Raw genomic sequence first — 18,883 nt, forward strand, 5'->3', positions numbered from 1 at the left:
CTGTTAGAACAGTTAAGAAGATGAGCAAGAAGGGGCCGCTGGCTGGGGCCAATGGCATACTGTATGAGATGCCGGAGAGAAAGTGCAGCCCCTCAGCTTCCATTCAGCCGCTTGCATCCATGCCTGGGAGACTAATGTGCAATTTGAAGGGAAGAGGAAGGAAATTAACATTTATTAAATAACTGCAATGTTCCCTCACTGAAGTGCTCCACACATTATAGGCATTATTTAATCTTCAAAACAACCCTGAGAGGAGCTTTTGGTATTTGCATTTTATAGATGAGAAAACTGGGATGTTAAGCAATGTGTTCAAGATTGCACACTTAATAAGTAGCAGAGGCTTGATTCAAATCTGTATATGTCTTTTTCCAAAGCGTGTTCCTTCTGTGTCCACTACCTCCCTGTCTAAATCTTAGAGGTCCTAGGATAAACCCATGCTCTGGGCATTACTACCTTGGCTAGCTCTGCCTGAGCTCACTGGGTAGCTGGTGAAATAGAGGAAAGGGCTAAATAGTCACCATAGGAAATATTGGCTGTGAGGCAGCAAGCACTTTCTAAGCACTTTTCACTAATTCATTTACTCCTCCCAACAAGCTTATAGGAAAGAGCCTTTAATCCCCACTCTTTTAAAGATGAGAAAACCAAATTCAGAGGCTTTATGGTAAGTCACCAGCTCATAAGTGGCAGAACCAGGATATGAACTCAGGCAGTCGGGCTTCAGCTCTGCGCAATTAACTACTCTGCTAAAAATGAACACATACACAGTGCCTGACTGATCCCAAGAAGCTCCAGTTTCCCAGCCCAGGTGACCACATCACAGGACATTGGGTTATCACTGAACTAATAGGAAGTTTTGATATGGAGAAGAAAAGGTTGGAAAACCAGATGGACGCATGGGATTTTAACCCAATGAGAGGAAAATGATTATTTATACTACAGACAATGGGACTTAACTCAAGCACAGGCAAGATTTCTTAAGAGTGGAAGAACAATGTCCCAGGCACATGAAAACAGCATGTACAAGTATCCTGAAAATGGACAGAGGGAGGTGCTTAAGAGAAGCTGAAGGAAGCCTCTGCAGCCAGGGCAGAGGATAGCAGGTGCACAGGAGTGAGAGGGAGCTGGAGCTGAAAGGAAGGTGGAGCCAACCCTAAAGAAAGGGCCTGATATGGACAAACATGCTTCCCCAAAATTCATCTGTTGAAAGTCTACTCTTGCAATGTGATAGTAATAGAAGGTGGGACCTTTGAGAGGTAGTTAGAATTCATGTGGTCATGAATGGGATTAGTGCCCTTATAAGAGTCATGAGAGAGCTTCTTCTCTCTCTCTTTCTCTCTCCATCATGTAAAGATATGAGAAGGGGCTTTCTGCAACAGGGAAGAGGACCCTCACCACACCCTGACTATGCTGGCACCCTGATCACAGAACCTCCAGTACTTTGAGAAACAGATGTCTGTTGTTAAGCCACCCAGTCTATTGAAGTTTGTTATAGTAGCCCAAAGTAAGGCCCTGAAAGCCATCTTTAAGAGGTTCACCTTTATTCAAAGAGCAAGGATCAAGATTGAAAAGGGGTGGGTTTTGAGTGCCTGTGTCAAAAAATGGCGATTCTTCAGCCCAGCATAGTTTTTTTTATCAGAACAAGTCAATAAATACATCACATTTCTTTAACAGGCTAGGGCTGCAGGTCAGGAACACATGTAAACAACAACAACAGCAAGAATGACTACAAACAGTAACGATATAAAACTTTGAGAGTCAGTGCAGTATAATGGTTAAATGGACAGATTTTGAGGGCTTCACTAACAGGGTTTAAATCCCAACCCCACTTACAACATATGCACTTGGGCAATTTGTTCTGCCTCACTGGGTGTATGATTTATGTTATAAATTAGGAACAATAACAGAACAACTCACAGAGTTGTTAAAGAGTTAATGCAGGTAAAGCTTTTAGAAGAGTGCCTGGCAGGTACTGAATACTCAATAGGTGCTAGCTCTTAGTATTGCAATTAACATTTATCGAGCACTTACTATGTGTTAAATATATAGCAATAAAGATTTTACATGCATTATCCAATTTAATGATTGTGGTGGTTATATACACAGGTTTTAAAAACATTTTTATCTTCAAAAATGAAGCTTTATTTCTATTTAATTGAGTGTGGGCTGGATTTAGTTGCCTGCTCCTAAAAAATAGAATATGGCAGCAGTGGAAGTGATGATGTGTCACTTCTGAGACTAAACCATAAAAACCATTCCAGCTTGGACACTCTCTCTTGGATCACTCACTATGGAGGAAGCCAACTGCCATGTCATGAGAAAAGATCCACACAGACCATCCAGGCCCAGTCAAACCTTCTGATGACTGCAGCCCTAACCAGCATCTTTACTACAACCTCATGATCCAAACCCACCCAGCTAAGACACTCCTGGATTCCTGACACTCAAAATTGTGTGCAGTAACATGCCTTTGTTGCTTTAACCTGTTAAGACTGGTATAATTTGTTACATGGCAATAGATAGTTAACGCAATGATCATTAGACAAAGTGTTCCTTCATATCCTTGAGGAAGGTTGCAAACTCAAAATGTGAGTAATCAAGGACTGCGGCAAACCAGAGAATGTATGCCCTGTCTAACGAAGGTGTCTTTCTTTGTTCTGGCTGCTACAACAGAATACCATGGACTGAGTGACTTAAGAACAACAGAAATTTATTTCTCACAGTTCTGAAGGCTGGGGAGTTCTAGATCAAGATGCCAGCAGATCCAGTGTCTGGTGAGGGCACTCTTCCTGGCTCATCAACCACTGTCTTCTTGCTGTGTCCTCACATGGCAAAAGGGGCAAAGGAGTTCTCTAGGATTCCTTTCACTTTGTTTCCATTCTTAAATATGCTTCTCACTCCCAGCTTTGATGTCACCAGGAAAATCTGTGCTGTCCCCAGGTTAATCTTGTCTCGACTCTAATTGGCTGGATGGTGATGGAGTAGGTGTCTAGCTCTTGTTCCATTTGCTGCCAATCTCTTTCTATTGGGACCGTGCCATGAGTATGCACCACTGAGTTACTGATCCAAAGAGTGTTAAATTTTCCCAACTGTGAAAATTGGTTCTAGTGCCAGGAGCGGGGCTAAGTGCCCACATCTTCAATGGCTGAGGGTCGGCCGGGGCAGGAACGTAGGCAGTGCTTGGATACGGGACACAGGAGGGCAGTAGTGAGACGAGATCAGGGGAAGACTGGATTCCAATCATGGAGGACACAAAACACCAGGCTAGAGTCTCTCAAAGGGTCTCCATCTGACCCACTGCAGGTCCCCAAACTCCATTCCGTCAGGAAAAAGGATGCTTCTGGATCCTTTGCAAACCCAGAAGAGAATCAGGAAATCATGATATGTTCAACCTCAGACATTCCAGATCTGAGAGCTCAGAGTACAGAAAATTTATCTCCTTTCCTAAATGGGGAATGAACAAATCAACACACAAACTCATGATCAACCTCCTGGAGGTAGCCAGTAAATGTGATCCTTCACAAGGACTTAGGCTATTGTGTGACTTCAGCTCTGATGAGCTCACTGCAAGGTTTGGTGCTGGGCAGCATGGTTGAGCTGGCCTGTTCCCAGCACTCGGTCCTAGAGGCTCAGGTCTTGGCCCCACTGCCCTGCCTCCTGTAACGCATGCAGATGCTGAGGGGGCCATTCCAAGTACCCCTTTGACATCCTGAGCATACACTCATCTTCTAGGAACAAGGATACTGGGATTCCTCTACTAGGGAATAGCCCCTTCTGTTGCTCTGATCAAACATTTCACTTTCGCATATTTAATATTATCATTCAAAGTCATAAATGAGAAGGGCCAGGTTGCTGTGTATACAGTACACAATGCACATTCAGCAAACTTTTACTTAGAACCTTAGATTGCCTGTGTGCCAGGCTCTGTTCTAAACATTAAAGAGACACAGTCCCTTGTCTCAAAGAGTTCCTAGCCAAAGGGAAGGCAGATACAACAATAGATCCATAAGCTCCGTTCTAAATGGTGAGTGCTACCATAGAGGTGTGTACAGATAGCTAAGGAAATTCCCAACAACTAACTCTTGTTGAGAGTAAGGAAGGGCTTTACAGAAGCACTGGCATTTTGGCTGGGCCTTAAGGAATAAAGAAAAGTTTGCCAAGTGGACAAAGGTGAGACAAATCCTTCTAGTTAGAGGAATAGTATGTACCAAAGCAAGAAGAGATGAAGTAGGCTTACATATTATTAGGTGAATTCAAGGTAATCACAGATGGCTGGCACAGAATTCTTCACATAAAGGCAGAAAGGCTAGAAAGCAAATAGGCACCAGAAGAATCATGCAATCATGGTTTATTTTCTGTCACCTTGGGAACGCTACCCTTCAGAGTGTTTATAGAACAGAGATTGTCTTAAACGATCCAGCCTGGTGGAATTAGATTTCTTTCCTCTTCATTTATGAAATGTAAGCAACTCATCCAATATTCTCAGAAAAAATAACTGTTGTCATTGTGGGCGTAGACATGTTTTAATCCATGATGACAGCTTGTCTTCAATCATAAACTGCTTTTATCTTATTGAACCAGGCTTTGATGGTGGGTGGCTTCCTCTGATCTGCTGCCATGCTGGGCAGAACTTTTCAGCAACAAAAAGCAAAATGATGAGCTTCTTTTGTCAAGGTGTCCATAGGCCTCTGCTCAGGGCATGGAGTTATGTGACACTGAGGACATCAGCCACAGCTCTTGGAGAGAAGGATTGCACATGGCATGGCTTTCTGTCCTCAAACTTCATTATCTCAAGGCATAAGTCCTCTTTTTCATGGATAGAGCCAGTGTCCCAAAAACTCTTTAAGGAACTATAAATCCCAGTCATTTTCCAAACCTAAAGTGTGGCATTTTAATGCACCTGCCTTGCAGCTGCGGGTAAGAACAGCGTCTGCAGGAGGGAAATAGGAAGATATAAAAATACAAATGGCTTCTTGTAGTGCTGTTGGCATCTGACAAGGAGCCTCAGGTGTCCCCACGGGCCCCGGAGATGGTGTAATGCTTGTTTCTCTTTGGAGTTAGCACAGCTCTAGAAAGTGGGTGCTTCTTTCTTCTCTGCCCCAGGCATTCCCCTGAGGAAAGTGAGCCTCAGAACTGGGAAAGAAAAGTGATCCTTTAGGAAGAATCATGCTCTCCCCAGGGCAGAAGGAATGACGCTCCAGCATGATGTGGAGGAGATGAGAGGACACAGACAGGGAACAAATCAGGGGTCTGTACAGCAGAGGGGTATGCAGAGAGCTAAGCAATGCCTGTAACCAAACACTTGACCTTGAACTTGCGGCATCCTTCTCAAAGCCTCCCACAGGAAGGGCCTTCCACAGTTAGTTTATCCAACCCTTCAGCACTGTGTGAATCCTCCACATCACATTTCCGATATGGGGTCCATGCCCTGCTTGATTATCTCCTGGCATGGGGAACTCACTACCTTATAAAGCAGCTAATTCTCCTGTTGAATGGCTGTGGGTGAGAGAAAAGTCTCTCTCAAGTATACAAGAAATCTACTCTGCAGTCACATCCACCCACTGGTTCCAAGTGTTTGCCCAGGGGAACTCTGCTACCAGCCAGTCCTGATTTGGGGAGCTGCTTTGGGCATCCCAAGTCTTCCCTTCTGGAAACTGAATACTGTACTTCTAGATCCTTTCACCATCCTCATGTGTCATTCTTTGTCTCTGAGAGGTCAGATCACATTTTCTTCCCTCTGGAACTTCTCCTTCTGAAAGTCCCCAAGGGGTCTTAGTCCAGGGCTATACTCTCTCCTCCCCTGTTATTCTGCCATGGGAGAGAGAGGCTTTGATCCAAGCCAGTGCCCACCACCTGGGGAGGACAGGTTGCTTGGTAGACAGTAGCCTTGCCTCACCCTCAACTGTGCTGTGAACTCTGCTAACTGCTGTGCCAACTCTCCCCCTGGCCAGGTACAGGAGAGAGTGCTGACGGTCTGTGGGCTGTAGGACACAGTGCTCCGTGATGCTGCAGAAGAGGGTGAGGTTGCTCCTTGTCCTTCAGTTTAATTGCTGTGGATGGTACAGAGGAAACCCAGCCCTGCTGCCAGCAGCTGTAACTGCTCCCCCTTAGATGGTCGGAGGATCCCTGTCCTCAATTCCTGGCCCCTATTCCAGAGGAGTCATGTGCAGTGGGCAGGATCCAGGCAGCCTGGCTCTTCTGAGGGAGCTGTGCCCAGAGATACCAGGCAAATGATGAGCGAATGCCCCGCCACTTGCTGGCAGCAGGAGGAGAGCATTCCCATGTCTCATGGGCTCCCCATGAAACGGGCTTTCTCTTCCGTAAAGGAGTGAGTGTCTAGGGGAGTTCATGCGTGCACGGCATGGAGCCAATTATCGCTGCTCCAGGAAATGGGGATGGCATTGATCACTGAATTCCCCAGGGGAGCCCTGGGCTTCAGTGCCAATGCCTCTGCCTCACCATCCATCTGTGAATAGGGGTAAGACAAGCGGGTATATTAGTTGGATTCAACTTCGGCTGCTTTTATTCTCTCACCCTCCCTAGGGAAAGCAAATGCCCATGAAATTTAGCAAGGCAAGAGGAGCAGGAGCAGGAGCTGAAGCACTCAAAGGCTGATGTAAGCCCTGGCCCGGAAGGAGTTAAGGATCAAACGGCGCCCAGGGAGTGAGCCAAACATTCCATGTTATAGAAGTAAGGAGAGTCACGTGGGAGGAAAATGTCTGAGTGTATCTGAACCACGGCTCCATCCAAACCTAAGCCCTCCGCCCCACCCTGCGTTCTGGAATTCCTCTCAAGCTTTACTGCCCGCAGCCATATTCTCATTCAAATGGGACTCTCTCTGTCTCAACTCTCATTTCAACCTAACTCTGACTTCATCTCAACCTTAACATCCTTTTGACCTCAACCTTCCTCCCGGCTCCAGCCCCGCACAGACCCTGACCATACCCTGGCGACTCCATCAGCTATGATTTCACCACCACCTGGCCTCAACTTGAACATGCCCCAGCCACACCTAACCCAGACCTCAGCAGACCCGGACTCCACTCCCAGCCCATGGCCACCCAGGCCAATCATGTTTCCTAGAGCAGAGCATGAAAGGGGTCCCGCCTGTCATGGGGGAACAGATGAAGCAACAGAGCTGCTTTGCTGTGCTCTGTGTTTCTCCTTCCTATTCTCCCACATAACTGTATGTCAGGTGGCCAGACACCTTCTTGTACCTTAGAGAAGTCAGACTCAGTTACCTGACACTTCTGTGCCTTGAGCCCCGGCCGTGGCAACCTGAGTCAATGGCCTCCACTCTTATTTCTCTCCACTCTGTGCTGGGTAATGGGAGGCAATGTGGGGTGTGGGTGGTCAGGGCAAGGTGGATACAGGAGACAGCTCCTCTTCCCTCCCTTAGTTTTAGATTTCTAGGCTGTGAAGGAGACTCATGAGAAAACCACGGCATCACTGTTAAAAATCATTTGGTTTTATTCCCACTACACTTATATTGTTTTTAAGACAAAATTAAGACCATGGTTATCTCCTCCACAGAGACGAGTTAAAATAATCCTTTTCAAAGTGAATTTGAAGTGGCTAGACTTTGGAAGGAATGAGATGGAGGTGGAAGGGTGTCGCAGATTTTCACTGACTTGGAGGAGGAGGGTACTTGTGCACATGAGTCTGGGGTTCAAGGTCTCTTCTTCCATGGGCTTTTGGATTTAGAGCAAAGAGAACCACATAGAAGCAAGAGGGCTCTTTGTCAGGGGCAAGTCTCAGAACACAGGAAAGGATCACATTTTCTCCTTAGGAAAGTTAGAGAGACGCGCCGAATGCAGACCACAAGTGGGGGCCCTCTGAGGGCGCCTTTTGTCCAATCTGCAAGCTGGGAGATATCTTTTCAATGCCTAGAAGCTATCAGATGGAAGAGAGCAAGTTCACGTTTCCTGAGAGTGAGAAAAGTCAAGATTACTCATGCAGCGATGGGTAAGAGTTCTATGTGGCAAGGAGGACATATGGGTGTGTGATCCTTCCATGCTATGCCTATATTCTGCATGTCTTTCTTGCTGCAGGCAGCCTTACTGCTGCACTAGTCCTAATTTGATTTTTAGCACCTTCAACATGGTCCTCTACAACAAGCAAGGTGTCGGCAGTCCTGCTGGACCAGAAGCCTCACATCTCATCTCACGGAGGTTCATAGCAGAGAGATCGGAGAGTCCCAAACAGCTACATGAGGATAAACATTCCCCCACAGTGTATCTCCCTATTGTGATTTTCTCCTTGTGAACTGTGTAACTTATATCATCATCTTAATAAAAATATATCTGTGAGAGCAATTGTATGTCATTGAATTTTAAAATAATAGCCATATTTTCCAAGCACCTACTATGGGCTAAGCATATAGCCTGGGTTAGTGGCTGCCAGGGCTGTTGTAGACAACCCTCCTTTGGTAGGTAGGAGGATAATCATCATAATGTCTGCAGTTTCTACAAGATAAGAGTCTGTTGTAATGACTCAGCTCAGCTGTTTATTGTACCTTTTCTGGTTTTCCACCTTGGTATCTGGTGACAACTATCAAATTACAGTTAAAGGTTGAAATATTCTGTCTCCATAGGGCTAACTTTTTATACTAAATGAACTGAAAGCTGGTAAGTATCACAAAACGCTGATATTTCCAGCCCCCTGTCCATCTCCAAAGTCGCTTGCAGAAATGGTTCGACATTTATGTACTATTTCAGCCATGTTGAAAGGAAGGGATGGTTCCCAGTTGCCATTGCAGTACAATAAAGGCAAAGTTGAACACCAGGGACCCAGAGGGTTAAAATGCCATACAAGTCGGGGCAGTATACCAAAATAATTTCAAAATGTGGCCAAAGCCATATTCTGGAATCACAGTCATCAAAACAAATATGATAATCAGAATACATGGGAGATGCCTGAGATAAAAGCCAGCAGAACAGAAAGGACATGGGAATTATCAAAGTCAAATATAGTCCAGGGTCATGTCCTTGGCCAGTGGATGTTCCCATCCCCGCCCTTTTGGAAGAAAGCCCAAGGCCTTGCCCCATAGGTGTGGGTCTTCAGGTTCTTTGCAAGAGGGTGAGGCCAGGAGGAATATTATCCCTGGAGGGTTTGCACTGAGGTGAGGGTCTCGGGGCCAGGTTGGACCAGGAGGAGGCCTTCCTTAGGACAGCTTAGAATAGCCTAAGTGGAGAAAGAACCTACTCAGTTCAGGGAGGAAGCAAGCTCATTGCCAAAGTACTGAGCCTAATGGATTTAAACCAGCAGATTGCCAAGCCCAGGACTTGGGAACAAGCTGGGATTTTACACGTCATAGGCAGAGACAATGTGTTCAGGCCAAGGCCGTAAAGGGGAGGAGTGCCTGAGGATGGCTGTGGATGGCAGGGGCTGGTTTTAAAGGTTGGCGTGTCCAGCTGACAGTCATCCTTCTTTGCAATCGTGTGGCTTTCTGACAGACCAGGCAAAAGGCTGGTGCTGAATCGCTGAAAGCACCCTCCAATCAGATTAGCAAACATTCCCTTGAGGAAACAGACCAGGCCACTTCTGCAATGAAGAGGCAATTAGGGAAGCTGCCTTCCCCTGAGAGAGCCACCACCGCTGAGACACAGCCTGTGCCACTTCAGCACACACGTCTCTGTTCTGCAGAGCCAGAGATAAATAGCAAAGGCCACTGGGCTTCAGCCCCATTTATTATTATTCAGAAACAGCACTGCGGAGTGTTCTCAAAGTCAGCTGCATGATGTAGCCAGCCAATGCTGCCAGATGATTTAGGGGACAGGAGAGGAGATATTCCCAGTAACCGTGTTATCCCAGACAGTCAGGAGGCACTGCAGGACAAGGGAGCTGCAAAACTTTATTTGGCCACTGAACTTAATAAACCTAAAAGGAGGGCAAAGGAGAAGAGGGAGCATGGCCAAACAAAGGTTTGGAAAGCTAAAGGAAAAGGGACCAGATCCCCTGGGATTACGAGCAGCAGGAGTAAAGAGCGGCAAGCCATGGCTGCTCCACAGAAGAGAGGGAGGGAGGCCAGGGCAGAGCTCCCAGCTGCCTGTTGGATGCACCGAGTGGAGGCCCCACCCGCAGTCATTCACTCCTTGAAGCAGTGTGTCCTGAGCGCCCTATAAGAAACATTGTGTCTAAGATGTAGCCCTCTCCCTGAGGAGTTTACAATAGAGCTGCCCAGAGAGAGAAATTATACAAAACAGTAATCAGAAAACCATACATTAAAAAGTATATACTACTGGCCAGGCGTGGTGGCTCACGCCTATAATCCAAGCACTTTGGAAGGCCAAGGCAGGCGGATCACTTGAGGTCAGGAGTTTGAACCAGCCTGGTCAACTCGGTGAAACTCCATTTCTACTAATAAATACAAAAATTAGCCGGGTTTGGGGTCGGGCGCCTGTACAATCCCAGCTACTTGGGAGGCTGAGGCCGGAAAATTGCTTGCCGGGAGGCAGAGGCTGCAGTGAGCCAAGATCGTGGCACAGCACTCCAGCCTGAGTGACAGAGCAAGACTTCATCTCAAAAAAAAAAAAAAAAAAAAAAAAAAGGAATATACCGCCATGTGGCCTAGGGGAATGTTCCTCTCAATGAACAGATCAGAGAGCACCCAAGATTTATGCAGAGAAGACTCTGGAAGAAGGTGAGTCGGGCAGAGGAGGCATATGCACACCAAGTCGCATTCCTGCCTTCCAAGAGTCGCCGTCTCTTTGGGGTCACCTGTTGTGACTCCTACTCTCCCACTTAAACAAATGTTTCTTATATAAAGGAAAAGAGGCTGCCCCCTCAGTCTCTGTGGGGAACTGGCAAGGCACCCACACCTGCATCGTAGGCAGGAGGGAAGGTCTATTTTTGCTAGGACCCAGTGCTGATCTGACATGCTAACAGCCCCTACTGGGCCCAAGTCAGTTTCCATGGCGTCTGGAGCCTCCACCCTCACCCCTGACCATAAGTTCCTTGAAGACACAGGATGAGTATATATGGCACAGGGCCAGGGTCAGAGCAGTGCTCTGCAAAGGAACCACTTGATTTGGGTCAGTGAAAAACTACATTCCTAGGCTGTTCTCAAGGCTGACACGTGAGCCCAGATGATCAGGCTCCAAAAGGCAAAACAGCAGCAACCCACAGACACATATGTGCGTCCTAATCACCAACTCCTCCAACTTTGACGTGGTGGTGAGGCATTGAGGTGTCACGATGTATTTTTCAAGGGAATGTGTCTTTAATTAAAAACAGCCCTGGTACCACAGGCTAGAGGTGAAACCAGCATTTCCTTCCAAATGCTACCAACAGATGCCACTCCCTGCTGAGGCGTGGGAGGCTGGTGGCTGGTGGCCTTCTGCCCACCTGCTTCTAGCTACTGGCTCATGGGGGCAGCCAGGATGCTCTTCTCCCCAGCTCCCTGCTCAGGGTCAGCAGCTCAAATCCTGGGAAGGAAACTCAGTCAGTGTCTGGGTTCCTAGTGCGTGAACTCCCTAAAGGCAGTCTGTATCCCTGTCCTCCCACAGGGCAGGCCCAGCAGGTCCCAGAATCAAAGCCGCCTCTGCTCTCTGCACAGTCTGGTCTGGCTAAAGGGCAAGGCCTGGAGAGAGTTTGGGACTCCACCCGGCCACAGTCCTGGGACTCGTCAGATCTCTATCTTCACCACAAGCCAGCCTTCCTGTGCTCAGCCAGGTCCTCTAGGGGACCCCGGTTCCCCAAAGTGAAGCCCCATGATACATCTGTACCCAGATAACTCCCCGTATCCTCTCTGCCCACCCCCACCCCAGCTCCATGCTCTCCCCAGTCACTAGAGGCAGCTCCATGCAGGAATCTCTGATCTCAGCCCTTTCTAAAGACAGTCATTGTGCCCTGCATTTTATTCAATGTTGTCCTTGGTTCTAGCTTTGTCCCCAAATTACTATGTGAGTTGGAACGGGGAACTAATAAGGGGACTGGACCAAGTCCTGAGTCCCCTCTGCTATGTGAGTCTCAGGTCTTCTTTCCTCTGTGGGCTGACTTCTGTCTGTCTTGTCTGAGGTCACCTCTATCCCTGCTATCTATGTAAACAAAGATTAATACACAGTGACAGGTCCATAGCTAAACCTTAAACTCCATTGGAGCAACTAGAAGTTAACTCAAAGCTCCCTGCACTACCAGGGTTACGCCCTGCAGCACTATCAGCCAAGACAACAGCATGGGCTGGGCACCCTCCGCCTCTCCCCACCCTTCTTTGTCTCTCTGGACGGGGCTCCCTGGCCCTCCCACAGGGGAGGATCAGAGACAGTGGGAAACTCAGAGAGAGGGTGTTTAATCTCCCAGCCTCTCCCTGTCAAGGACTCCCTGTGCTGGCTCCTGTTTCCCTGTGTCCTCTCTCCCTTCAGGCCTGGAGTAGGAGGGATTCCTGCTGTTTCTAGCCCCAGGGTCTTGTGCTGTCCCTCCTGGCAGCTTCCTTGCATCCTGCTCACACCTCTACACTCATCTCTTGATGAAACTGCTCAAATTACCCACTTTGAGAGTGCCACCTGCTCCTTGCCAGCACCCTGCCATCAGATCCTGCGGTCGGGGGATTGAAGATTGTGTGGAATATTGGGGGGAAGGGAAGTGAGTTCAGAAGCAAACCTAGGAAAAGCCCTAACACATTTTTATGTTCATTATACTCAAATAATAAAGACAGCAAATGAATTAAAGGGCACATCGGTGGTATTTTTACATGTCTTAAATGAGCAATCAGGGGCACTGTATAATTAATTTCCATTTACCATCCTTTGCTTGCTAAAACTTTCTCAAGATTTCTCACCCCTGCAGTTTTCAATGACACACCTGAAAGTCTGCTTTGCTTTGCTGCAGATAATATGCACACTAAGAGGCATTTTCCCCTGGGTCTGGAATTTTAGTTGAACGATGGCTGTCTAATTTTATGGCTCAGAACTGGTGGCTCCTGTCTCCTGTCTTACTGCGTCTCCAGAAATGCAGCAGCCCTTGGTGCTTCAAGTGAAAAGGCCTGGGTGACCCTTACTTAACCCAAGCTGTTAGCTGTCACTGAGACAACATCTCTCAAGCCCTCCCCAGTATACATAGGGAACTATACACTGGCACCCTCCAAGACAGCCTCCTGCTAGGACATGTTAGAGACAGTGGGGTCCTGGCTTGACTCTGTCAATGCCTCCTGGGTGCCACAGCCCTTGGCAGGTTCATAGAACTTAGTGGAGGCTGGGTGCAGTGGCTCATGCCTGTAATCCCAGCACTTTGGGAAGCTGAGGAGGGAGGATCACTTGAGCCCAGAAGTTAGAGATCATCCTGGGCAACACAGCAAGACCCTGTTTCTAAATAAACAAAAATAAATTAGCTGGGTGTGGTGGTGCATGCCTGCAATCCCAGCTACTCGGGAGGTTAAGGTGAGAGGACCACTTGAGCCCAGGAGATCTAGGTTGCAGTGAGCTGTGGTCACCACTGCCTTCCAGCCTGGACAACATTTTTTTCCCGCTGTCTACACACGAGGAGTGATCTGAATATACTAGAACTGAAATCCCCAGGACAGAGGGCAAGGTTTGCAGAAATAAGCCCTTGCTTATTATAAGCCTTGAATTTCATGAAAGACATGTTCTCCTGCTTCTTTTAGGCTCCCACAGAATCTAGTACAGCTCTGGGCTCCACGGGAGCTCAATGCATCCTGATTGAGATGCTGATACATAGGGTGACCCATCTTCTTGGTCTGCTCAGAACAGTGCCTGTTTTGGCACTGAAAGGCCAACTGGGGCAGACGGCCATCCTTCTACAGCAAATCTCTCACCTGCTCAGCCTGGAACTGCTCACATTATCTTGGCATGGGACAATATTAGAGATGCTCTCTCAAGGTGGAGCATGAGATGGAGATTCCTGATTCTTAAATAAACACTTTGCCGAGGAAGGGCCCTTGAGGAATCCTGGCCAGCAAGTGAGGGAAGCAAGTCAGGGCAGGGGAAGAGGCTGAGCAAACAGCTGCACCATTCAAGTCTAGCCTCGCTCTGACCCCACAGGGAGCCCTGGGGCATAAAGCGCATCTCAGAGTTGTCCCATCCGAGGCAAGGCTGGAATTTTTAGACACCCATATCGGTCAGCCACTGGTTCTGGGCCATATTGGGGAATGGGACCTCATATCCCGGGCATTTTGGGGTGAGGCATCCCTGGAAACAGAAATTTCAAAAAAGGTAGGGCTTGGAGCTTCTGGCCACCAACACTCATAGCACCTGGGGATAGGTGAACTGGCCAGCAAAACGGATCTGGATGGGACACCAAGAGCATCCACTATAGTAACGTGGCTCCAGCTGGTATGTGGGGTGCCAAGGGAGTGCCTTCAACACCGTTGCCAACCATGCTTCCATCCCACTTCCCCAAAGTGTACCTAGGCCTTATACGTGTGGCTCCACTGCAATTTAAGGTTTGCATTCTCTGGTCTGACCTGAAACCCTTGTTAGCTAGGGCCCTACTAGACCCCTACTAGAATTTGCCAAAGTGTTTCCCAGAGATGGAACCTTACCCTTGGTCCCCCAGACCTGGTTTGGACTATGCTTCAAAACTGCTGAAGCTTTGGATCCCCGATCCCTACCCCAGCCTGACTGAGTCTTATATAACCCAAGCCACCGCTTCACACAGGTGCTCTGTCCATCATCAGATGGCCCTACTCTGCACAGTCACAAAACTAAATGGAGCCCCAGGTTCTAAGCACTGTGGACAGGAGGTGCTCAAACCACAGTCTTGCTTAACAAGGTCTAACCCTGGTCTCTGCATGACCTGCAGAGGTTCCAGCATGCCTTGCAGTTGGCCTGTGTAGATTTGGACACAGTCAATATCCCAAGGCTTTTAGAAATGCAGTTTTTAAAAGTGTCAAAACATATGTGCATGGACCTTGTAGCAGATGCTGTTGATGCCCAACTGATATCCTTGGAGCCTCCTTTCTTCAAAGTGCTCCCTGCTAACCATCCTCCTTACTCCTATCTCACCACATTTAATTATCAGAACTTTTGTCCATGGGCTTCATTCAAATGCACAGAAGGCTGCTCTGCCCCAGCATGTGGAAGGCTGAAGTGCTAGAAATTAACACCCCCAGAAAGCAACTCTCAACCAATGATGGAAGGGAGCTAGTGGATAAATACCCCAGCTCCCTCCTCTCTCAAGGGGGATCATTCTAAGGCATGAATTTTACACCTATTTCCCAGAGTATCCCAAAAGGATTAAGATCTTCCCACAGTGGTGCCTGGCAGCTCTTATTGGTGGTCTCCCTTCCTTGTCTTATCTCCCTACCCCACTGGCATATCTTGAACTTCCTGAATAAACTGCATGCAGTTGAATCTGTGTCTCAGAGTCTGCTTCTGGGGGAACAGCCTCTCCAAGGAGAAGCTAGAGAAGCTGGGACAAGCCCTGCACCGTGTAGCTCAGGCCCTGTTTAGCTGGCTGCTGTGCATGCCTGAGGACCCCGGTGGGAAGCTCTTCTGCACTGAGTGGCCCTGGAGGGGAAGCAATAGTCTGGCCAAACATCCCTCTGGAGGTGCAGATGCCCCATTAGGACTCAGAGGCACTCTCTACTTTCTCTGGAGGCCATTTGATCTGGGGAGGTGATTTTAATCAGGGATTTGATCATCCTACGGACGATTCCTTATTCACGTTCATTCTTCTCCAGCTCCCTCAGGCCCCTTAACAACATTAGACTGCAATTTCAGGTTTATATAATTTGGTGCTTAATGCACCGTACCACTAGCCCAGAACAATTGAAGTAACTCACTGAGGTGTCAGCTTATATCAGAGCCACTCCTTCCCAGAAGCCTCCACTCTGGGTCTGTGGCTGCACCCGGGGCCCCAGCATGGAGCAGAGGGAGTCTGGGAAGTTGACTACTCCAGGGGTCCAGGCCCTGGTTCTTTGAAGCCTTGCTGTGTTATAACTAGGGTATTTCACCATTCTTCAAGAGGATGACTGTGGAGCTAGCTGTGCAGCCAAGCCAGGCTCAGCCTGTCCTGACCTCTTCCGAGAGCCTGGGTATCCGCTCTGTTCAGCAGTGCCCATCTATCCAAATGCCCCCTAAAGATCGTCCCTCAGCTGTTTCACAGGCAGGTCACATTTGGCACATTCAGGACTTCACACTGGATCTTACTCACCAAACCTGTTCTTCCTCTAATTCTGTCTGGCCCATCTTGCAAACTGCACTGTCCTTCACCCCGTCACTCAAGCTAGAAACCTGAGCTGCATCTTCCATTCCTTCCTTTCCTTCATCCCCTACATTCATCAGCAAGTCCAAATAGATCTCGGATGTACCCACTTTTCTCTCCCTACAGCCATTACAGCCTAGACAATTATCATGTCTTGCCTGAAGCATCGCAACAGCCTCCCAGATGATTTTCCTGTGGCTACTCTTACCCATTCCCAAATTATTCATTACACAGTAGCCAGAGAGAGCTTCAAAAATGCCCATTTGCATACTTTTGTTTGTTGAAAGCTCATCAGCATTGTGTATTGCACTGAAAGTAATATTCTAAAAAGTCCCACATGACAAGGCCACTGCCTAATTCTTCAATACCATCTCAAGCCATCCTCCCGCTTCCTTACCACCCTCCAGCCACACTGGACTTCTTGTGGCTCTGAGACCATGTTACCTCCTGCCTCAGGGCCTTTGCATGTGCTGTTCCCTCTGCCTGGAACACTTTTCCATGCTCTTCACATGGCTCTCTCCTTCCATCCTTTAAAGCTCAGAGGGGCCTTCTCCAATCATCTAACCTGAAGCATGCTCCCCACCCCACATTAGATTTATTTCATATCATTCTTTTTATGTCTTTTAAGGCATTTATTATGGCCTGTAATAATTTCATTTGTTTCTTGTCTGTCTCCCACACTACGCTGGGAGCTCTGTAAGAGCAGGGACTGGGTCAATCTCATATTCCCAGTGTACAGCACACTGGCCTTGCACACGGTTAGTGATGGATTCATTTTCTATTGATGCATAACAAAATACTGTAAACTGAGCAGCTTGAAACAACACAAATTTATTATCTCATAGTTTCTATAGGTCAGAAGTCCAGGTACAATGAGCCTGGATTCTCTGCTCAGGGTTTCATTGGGCTGAAATCAAGGTGTTGGCCAGCACTGTAGTTCTCAACTGGGGCTTAGGGTCCTCTTTGAGATTGACTCGTTGTTGGCACAATTCGTTTCCTCGCAGTTGTAGGACTGAGGTCCCTGCTTTCCTGCTGGCTGTCATCTGGGGAATGCTCTTGGCAACAAGAGGCTGCCCAATCTCCTTGCCGCATGGACAGTTCACAGCATGGGTCTCTTCTCAGGCCACCAGAGTACATCTCTGTGACTTCCCCTTCTGCCATCAGCTAGAGAACACTCTGCTTTCAGAAGGTTCATGTGATTATGTCAGGCCCAACCAACCGATTGGGGACCTTAATTACGTCAGCCAATTCCCCTCACAGCAGGACTCAGATTAGTATTTGCTTGAATAACTCGGCGAAGTGAATATACACCACTTCCCAGGAATCAGGGCTGGGAAGGGTGGGGGATGACTTAGAATTCTGCCCACACAGTGATCAATAAATAGTTGCCGAATGAGAAAATAACGTGTCCTTGTAGCCACCTACTTGTATAATAAGTAGGTCCTCCAAGTTCATGTGAGTCTGTCTCTAGGTACAAGGCAGTTAAAGAAATACATAAGTAAAAACAAAAAGAGTCTAGTGGGAAATATGAGAAAGGAGAGGAGAGCCATATTGAACCTGGAGCTGGGAAATGTGGGCACAAACCCTAGCTTGGCCACCATCTTGCAGTGAGAACTTTGGTGACTCAGCTCCTATGGTTCTCAATCCCTTCATCTAAAGTGGGCATAAAAACCCTAAAACATAGAACAGAAAAGACAGAATCTATCTCCCACCCACACCTATGCGTCTTCCCACCCATGCATCCATGCATCCATCCACCCATCTCATTTGCAAAGCAGGAGGGTGGGATTTGTTTTTCCTGCCACGTAGAATTCAGGAATTCAGCAAGCAGCAACGCTCTCCACTGTTGGACTCACATGTCATAGGAATATGGAGTACACAGGTCTAGAGGGCAGCAGCTGGGCACCTAAGACTGTGGGAACTCACTCCAGAAAGATTAAACAGCAACCTTGAATGTTCTTTTCGGAGAAAATAAAATCACTTCAGCCTCATGCTTGAGCAGCCCTGGTCAGGAACACTCAGCAAACAACTTTGTTTTCTTTGATTCTCTGCATTAGTTCTTATTTTTAAGCCAAATGAAATTTGACAACACAGACAAGCTCGCAGACACAGTCCAGAGGAAGTGGGCCTGTGAATTAGCCAGAGGCCTCGTCCAATGCAGACACATTCCTTTCTTCAATGTCTAAGCTCCTTAGGGAAATGTGGAGAGTCAGTGCTACCACTGGGTAGCCTGGCATTAAAATCGTCCCTGCATTGCTGGAATTTTCTGTTGTATCACTGAATGTCATTTGGTGACAAGTTAATTCCTTCCCACTGTCTGATGGAGAACCCGCTCTGCACCTCCTGATCTCATCAGCAGGATCCTTCAGTCAATTTCCTCCCGAGACCAGGGTCGGGACACCCTGCCAAGGATGCTGGGAACCTGACCTTCACCATTAACCCTGTTGGAGACACTCTTTTTAATTTCCATTTGGCATGGAGCTCATGTAAACTCTGAGCCCCTACTTAATTTCTAATTCATTTCTGTCACCCCATCAAATTCATCAGGTGAGGAAAGGTTTAAAGATTTGCTTTTGTAAAGCTCCAACTCACATTCCTTTCCCTGGATGAGAGAAGCACGGGGCCCAAGATCTATTCCTGAGTTTTGTTCAGCTCTGACGTGCTGTGGTTATTTACTCCCAGATGGCAGCCGCCACCACACCAACCACAGCCACCACAGACATAC

At 47.7% G+C, this 18,883-nt stretch overlaps 1 protein-coding gene across 6 annotated transcripts in view, besides 5 other annotated features; it reads right to left on the reverse strand.

Annotated features, from left to right (window-relative positions):
* The window catches only part of GALNT18 (polypeptide N-acetylgalactosaminyltransferase 18), a 351,129-nt gene that overhangs the window by 126,968 nt on the left and 205,278 nt on the right, over positions 1 to 18,883 (reverse strand). The window lies entirely within an intron of this gene.
* Positions 5,681 to 6,593: an enhancer, noted in NCBI's record as "H3K27ac-H3K4me1 hESC enhancer chr11:11425072-11425984 (GRCh37/hg19 assembly coordinates)". NCBI's record gives its function as "activates a minimal SCP1, AML or CMV promoter by ChIP-STARR-seq in naive H9 embryonic stem cells {active_cell/tissue: H9 hESC(naive)}" and the evidence as "EXISTENCE:reporter gene assay evidence [ECO:0000049][PMID:30033119]".
* Positions 5,681 to 7,135: a biological region, named in NCBI's record as "CDK7 strongly-dependent group 2 enhancer GRCh37_chr11:11425327-11426526".
* Positions 5,936 to 7,135: an enhancer, noted in NCBI's record as "CDK7 strongly-dependent group 2 enhancer chr11:11425327-11426526 (GRCh37/hg19 assembly coordinates)". NCBI's record gives its function as "activates an origin of replication core promoter dependent on BRD2, BRD4, P300/CBP, MED14 and CDK7 cofactors, with strong dependence on CDK7, by STARR-seq in HCT116 cells {active_cell/tissue: HCT116}" and the evidence as "EXISTENCE:reporter gene assay evidence [ECO:0000049][PMID:35650434]".
* Positions 6,558 to 6,852: an enhancer, noted in NCBI's record as "tiled region #8932; HepG2 Activating non-DNase unmatched - State 21:Repr, and K562 Activating non-DNase unmatched - State 21:Repr". NCBI's record gives its function as "activates a minimal TATA promoter and a strong SV40 promoter by Sharpr-MPRA in HepG2 and K562 cells {active_cell/tissue: HepG2 | K562}" and the evidence as "EXISTENCE:reporter gene assay evidence [ECO:0000049][PMID:27701403]".
* Positions 11,022 to 11,523: an enhancer, noted in NCBI's record as "H3K4me1 hESC enhancer chr11:11430413-11430914 (GRCh37/hg19 assembly coordinates)". NCBI's record gives its function as "activates a minimal SCP1, AML or CMV promoter by ChIP-STARR-seq in naive and primed H9 embryonic stem cells {active_cell/tissue: H9 hESC(naive and primed)}" and the evidence as "EXISTENCE:reporter gene assay evidence [ECO:0000049][PMID:30033119]".

Source organism: Homo sapiens, chromosome 11 (genome assembly GCF_000001405.40).
Source record: "Homo sapiens chromosome 11, GRCh38.p14 Primary Assembly".
Taxonomy (NCBI): Eukaryota; Metazoa; Chordata; class Mammalia; order Primates; family Hominidae; genus Homo; species Homo sapiens.